The sequence below is a fragment of the Homo sapiens genome, chromosome 12 (assembly GCF_000001405.40).
Source record: "Homo sapiens chromosome 12, GRCh38.p14 Primary Assembly".
In the NCBI taxonomy this organism is placed as follows: domain Eukaryota; kingdom Metazoa; phylum Chordata; class Mammalia; order Primates; family Hominidae; genus Homo; species Homo sapiens.
The window spans coordinates 15001207-15007338 of record NC_000012.12 but is presented as its reverse complement, the minus strand read 5'-3'; the positions used below and the strand labels follow the sequence as shown (position 1 = coordinate 15007338).

At 39.7% G+C, this 6132-nt stretch overlaps 1 long non-coding RNA gene across 1 annotated transcript; it reads right to left on the bottom strand.

The window, feature by feature from the left end:
• Nucleotides 1-655: 655 nt before the first annotated feature.
• LINC01489 (long intergenic non-protein coding RNA 1489) lies at nucleotides 656-5506 on the bottom strand. Its single transcript, NR_120466.1, has 4 exons — nucleotides 5433-5506; nucleotides 4304-4404; nucleotides 2133-2239; nucleotides 656-978 (listed from the first exon to the last, which is right to left on the bottom strand). It is a non-coding gene; the product is annotated as a long intergenic non-protein coding RNA 1489 (long non-coding RNA).
• Nucleotides 5507-6132: the final 626 nt, after the last annotated feature.

Genomic DNA, 6132 nt, shown 5'->3' with positions numbered 1-6132 from the left:
TAAAGCATAGTTAGCTCTTTGACTTCCACATAGAGTCAGTAGACAAAAATGTTTCTTGAAAAGAGGGGAATGTCCACTCTGATGTCTTAGTTGTAATGACAGTGTCATGATGAGGATAGGATGGTGGCTGGATTCTATCTTCATACAAAGGAGTTCTGACAAAATTATGTGGAATCGCCTTCCCAAAACGAACAAGCACAGTAGCAAATATTAGCAAATATCTGCATAGTTTAACTGAAGAGATTCACTTTTTCTCAAGAGGCAGGTAGTCTTAGGTAATGATAAACTGTACGAGCTCTGAGGACAGAACTTCTTGGGTTTATATTAAAAAAAAAACTATTTCATTTGGACAATTTGTGCCAGTTTTTTTATTTATAAAATGGATGGAAGTTATAAAGATTAAGCAAGTTAATACAATTAAAGTGACTAAAACAGGACGTAGGACATCATAAGAGATCAATAAATATTTGCTATTATTATGTTACTACACTTATTATTTAGAATTATTTTATTTAGAATAATTATTAGGATTGTTTAGTTTTGAATTCTTACATCATTTAGAATTATGAGTCAGCTCTCCTCTAATTTTTGCTACCTTCTTTTATTCTTTTTCCCTTTGGTCAGGGGTTAAAGGGTTCACAGACTTTTTCTTTTTATTTTTACTTCAACTTTAATTTTAAGTTCAGGGGTACCTGTGCAGGCTGTACAGGTTTGTTACATAGGTGAATGTGTGCCCTGGTGGTTTGCTGCATAGATCAACCCATCACCTAGGTTTTAAGCGCAGAATCCATTAGCTATTATTCCTGATGCTCTTCCTCCTCCCATGCCCCAACAGGCCCCAGTGTGTCTTGTTCCCCCTGATGCATCCATATGTTCTCATCATTCAGCTCCCACTTATAAGTGAGAACATGCAGTGGTTGGTTTTCTGTTCTTGCATGAGTTTCCTGAGGATAATGGCTTCCAAGTCCATCCATGTCCCTGCAAAAGACATGATTTCATTCCTTTTTACGGCTGCACAGTATTCTACGGTGTATATCCACACCATTTTCTTTATCCAGTCTATCACTGATAAGCATTTAGGCTGATTCCGTGTCTTTGCTATTGTGAATAGTGCTGTTCTTGCTACCTTTATATCTAGCTCAGGAATTGCCAAGCTGTGGTCACTGACACTATTGTCTTGAAGAGATATTCTGACAACCTTGTCTCTATGACCCCAGAAAGACAATTCCATTAGTCCTATGTGGGAAATATTTTTTTTTAACTGAGGACCAAGCAAACATAAAGATGATTAAAATCTGAAAAGACAGATAATGCATAACATTCTGAAGTGACTTGCTACTACTTCTGAAGAAACTGAGGTCCCTGGGGATTCTTTGTAGTCCCTGGGGCCCCTCTATTCCTGGAGGCACAAGGAACACAGGCAGTGTGCCCCCTCCTCTGAGCCGTGACTTCCCTTTTCATCTGTGGAGATTCCTATTTCTCAAGGCTGGCTTCAAAGTGGATTGCAGTTCTCCCCAGCCTTTTCCTCTTTATGCTATCTCCCCACACTAACTAACAATTTTTCATTCAACAATTTTACTATTAATCACTGTAGAAGAAAAGATTGGTGCTAAAGAATAAAACTGGGAAGTTACAGAGTTCCCAAAGTTGTAGTGGAAATGTGAGATTTTGAAGCCAAATGCTTTTCTCTGATGGAACAAAGACCCCAGCATCCTCCAGTTTCTCTCTGACAGTCTTAAAGGTAAAATTTAATAAATATCATATATTACTAAACCTCCTCCAAATCCATTTCTTTTTGAAGATCTCTCAAAATAGGGATAAGAGTATAATTAAGGTAGATTAATTAGGCACTCAAGTGAGTGCCTTGCATGTCAGAGGAATTCCAAACACATATAATCCCTCATTTTGAGCTATTAATGTCTCCCATGTTCTTCTACTTCTGTACATGAAAGCCACTTGATGAAGCCCATTTATTTGAGGACTCAATTCCTACCCTTAGTCAAGCAGGTCTCAAATTGTAGTGTACACAACAACCACCTGGAAGGCTTATGAAAACACAGAGTCCTAGTTCCTAGTGTCAGAGTTTCTGATTCAGTAGGTCTTGGATAGGGCTCAAGAATTTGCATTCTCACCCAGCTTCCAGGTGATTCTGATTCTGCTGGCAGCACACTAAAGAAAACCATTGACTTATGGTCCTTCTGTCCTGGTCCTCCCTTTTGGTCAAATGGTGACAGCCTTTCTGCAAAATGAACCCAGTATGAAACACATGTAAATAAAGAGAGAAGGAGGGACACACAAAGAGAGACCAAAACAAGGTTGTTTGGCTCTGGGATACATTAGGATCTGAAGCCGGCTCTATATTCCATCTTGCAAAGTTACAACTATACATTTTGCTAAGCTAGTGTGAGTTGGGTTTATGCCATTTGCAACAAAATAAGACAGCCAATAAAATCCCAGTAAAATGTAAAATTATAAAAGTATCCACTCAAGAGCATTTCTCTTTGCTCCTATACATCATCAGAGAAGTTATTTCTCTACCTCAGTTTATCACCTTAATCAACAACAAATATCCATTACCAACTTGACAACCACCATTTGCTTGTTTAGAGAGATTTGTTGGTAGTTGAAGCAGACAGAAATTCCTCCAGGTAGTTGTAGGCACAGAAGGCAAAGTTGAGCATATGTTTGGCAAGCCCAGAATCATGCATCCATTTCCTTAACAAATATTTGTTAAACACCAACGTGCTACTCACTGTGCCAAGTGCTGGAATGAAACAGTGAAAAGCCCCTGTCTAGTTGGAGTGACAGAAATAAGCACTTACAAAAGAGTTAGATCAGATATGTGAGGTCATCAAGATGGTACCACCGGCCCTGGAGTGAACAAACAGGGGACACCAGGGCACCAGGCATGTGCTCTGCAAGCCATCACTCTGAGACAAGTTTTGAGTGATGGTGAGAAAACAGTGGATGTGAGGGGCAGACAGATGTTAGTGTTTAGGGGACAGGCTTTGGGCCTTGAATAGACTTTGATTGGAGGCACGGCTCTACTACCCGTTAGTCTACTTAATTACATTGAACAGTTAACTCCCTAAGCTTCAATTTCTCTTATTTATAAATTAGACTCTTTATGTTAGCTATTTTAGGTAACACTGTGATAAGAATTGCACATTGTTCACAAACATATAAATATTCTATCCATGTTTGCCAAATAAAGTACCCCCAAATTACATAATTTTAGAAATACAGTAAAGAAAGCCCTGTCTTCCACTGGAAAGCTACATACAGAGGAAATGTGAAACCTAAAGTTTCAAAGACTGAAGTGACATGAAAATTAAATAAAGGAGGAACTTTTGAATGATCAATAGCTTCAGAGCTGAACCTCTAAAGGACTTCTTTAAGAATCAATACTGATACCATAACATTGATCCAAAAAGATAAGAAACGGCATCCTATCTTTTTATGAAAATGGAAAAGTCATATAAATTTAAAAGAAGCTGTGAGAACCGTGGGAGATTAGACACAGTAAAAGACACAAATCGTATTTGTCCCTCATTAATGTAAAGCAGGGGAATTGCCCTGCAGGTTTCCATGTGAGAATATGTTATGCTTTATGGTGGAAGGAGGGTAAAAAAGTCAAAACAACCAGACTTTACCCCTAGATTTAACTAAGGACTAGCTCGACCACATTCTAGTTGTGGGGCATTTAATTATGAGCTCAAGACTGGTGATCAGTGCTCTTATTATAATACCTACTCCACAAGTGTGTGAAGAATCAAGTGCCTAGCATCCTGTCTTGCGCCTCGGAGGCACTCAATAGACAGGAGTTTAAGTCATTGCTGAGAGGAAGATAAATGAACTTATGACTTCTCTGCAGGTCAAGCAACTCACTATACCGATGGCTTCAACCTTCCCACTGCATCATTTCTTCATGTTTTGCAGATCATGAGAAAATGCTGTCATTAGCCAAGTCAGATTGTCTTCTGAACCTTAGGTCAACAACTCTGCCACAGAAAGCCTGCTATGGGCATAATTGTGAAATTAAAGAGAATTTCTGCAATCTCAGATGGCACTTTCTGTCCTCCTTCTGGTCCCACCCCAGGTGTTCTTAATGAACAATCAGCTGTCGGAAAGCTGCCCTAATTCTGCCCCACAGGAAAGAACAACTTCTTAAAGTGTGGTTCTCAAACTCCATGTGTCAGCATCCCCTCAGACGCCACAGGGACAAGCGAGTGGGCTGTCGAGATTGGAACATCCTGAAAACTGCTCAAAATATTCCACATGAAAAAACAAAGAAGTATTTTACCTGTGCGGGGATAGGATTGCAGACCCACAGGAAGTTTTTCTCCACTCTATTATCACAGAAAGGGATGCTCTGAGAATTCATGAACGATTGGGGTTTCTGTTCTGCATTTTTAAAAAGAGGGAGTTTGAAAGTAAGAGAACATTAATCCGATGGAAATGTGTTAAAAATTGATAAGTAAGACTGGAGCATTTGTATTTTGTGTAAATCTCTATTTGTTTTATGTGTTTAAATACCCACCAACAGAAAAACATTTTTAAATTAAAAGAAACCCCACTATCATTTTAAATTAAATTAAAAGAAGTCCTGCAAGTTTGTGAATTGTTAAGAGCTTTGAAATATAGAATTTGCAGAAACACACATAGCTGTAGGATAAAGAACATGATCCATCAGAGTCCGGGTCAGGAAACTAGAAAGCATATTATAACAGATGGAATGTATTATAAATTAATTATAATCAGTTATAAGGAATTGGCTAAGCTAAATAGAGAAGGTAGAATAAAGGGAAGAAATTGCGGTTCCGTCCCAGGTGTTCCTAATGAGCAATCAGCTGTCTGAAAGCTGCCCTAATCAGAGAAGATGCCCGGCAGAGCCATTGTCAGACTCGGACCAGATCTCTGAGGAGAGGGCACTGCCTGGCTGCTATGGGTAACTTTGCAGAAAAAGTGTAGAAAGAAGGTGGAGACTAGAACCAGACCAATTGCTGCTGCCAAGAGAGGGCGGTTGTTGCTGGCGGATGCCGCTGCCAGGAACAGGGACTTCTCCTTCCCTCCCTCCCTTTCTAGCCTTCCAGCAAGCATCCAGTGCCTCCCTCTCAGAGAAGCCTCACAGGCAGCCAAAACTCTATTTCCTATCATCCCAGCCCCAGTGCCATAAAGCTGAGTAAGGAAAGGTGGGTTTGAAGTAGAGAGACAATAGCTTCATAAACCAGCACACTGTCTTCTTAGGAAACCCTTCAAGTAAACTGAAGTAGATTAAAAAAAAAAATCACAGCAGATGCTTCAGCTGGTAACTGCAGTTTGCAAACAAAGAACCGCACTGCTGTAACCCGAGTGGGGAAGCCTCTGCTTATGCCATAGTGATCTTTGCAACTATCCATGCACACAAATAATTTTCTCATGTATTTACTCACCCAGGAAGTATTTACTGAGTTCCTTCTATTTCTAGGCATTTCCTAGGAAGTGGAGTGGGTATAACAGTGAACAACACAGGCAAATTCCCTGTCCTTGTGGAGGTGATGTTGTAACAGGATAGGCAGACAACAAGCATGCTAAAAATAGCCGGTAGTGCTAAGTGTAAAAAGACTGAAGATATGTGGGAACAAAGGGGTATCCAATCCACTTCCTTTTCCTAATGCAACAAACACATAACATTTTAATAAAAACAACTGATTATGCTAGCTCACATGGGCTAATATTTTACATTAACTTTCTTTCATAAGCCATCATTTCATCTGTCGGTGGTTCATACTAAGCAGCCTGGCTCACATCATATCTCTTAAAACAATAAGACCCAGAACCCTAAGATTCACCACTTCTGGTGAGAGCCAAAGTACATATACATGAGCTCCAGCCCTGCACACTGAGGTGGATGAGCTTCAGGACATTCTCTTTAAGACTGTTCTTGTGTCCCAGACATAGCATGTAGGGGTCTGAAATAATCCTCAAAGAGCTTTAATGATGAACTTTGCAAGAGAAGATATTTGGGAGAAGTAGAAAACCAGAGGACATGTTTCAGAGACTGGTCCTTCTTTTCAAACTTCAGGGGAAAATCACCTACTTGTATCTTAGCGTATAGTTGGTTGCCTGAATGAAATAATTTCAAATGATGGT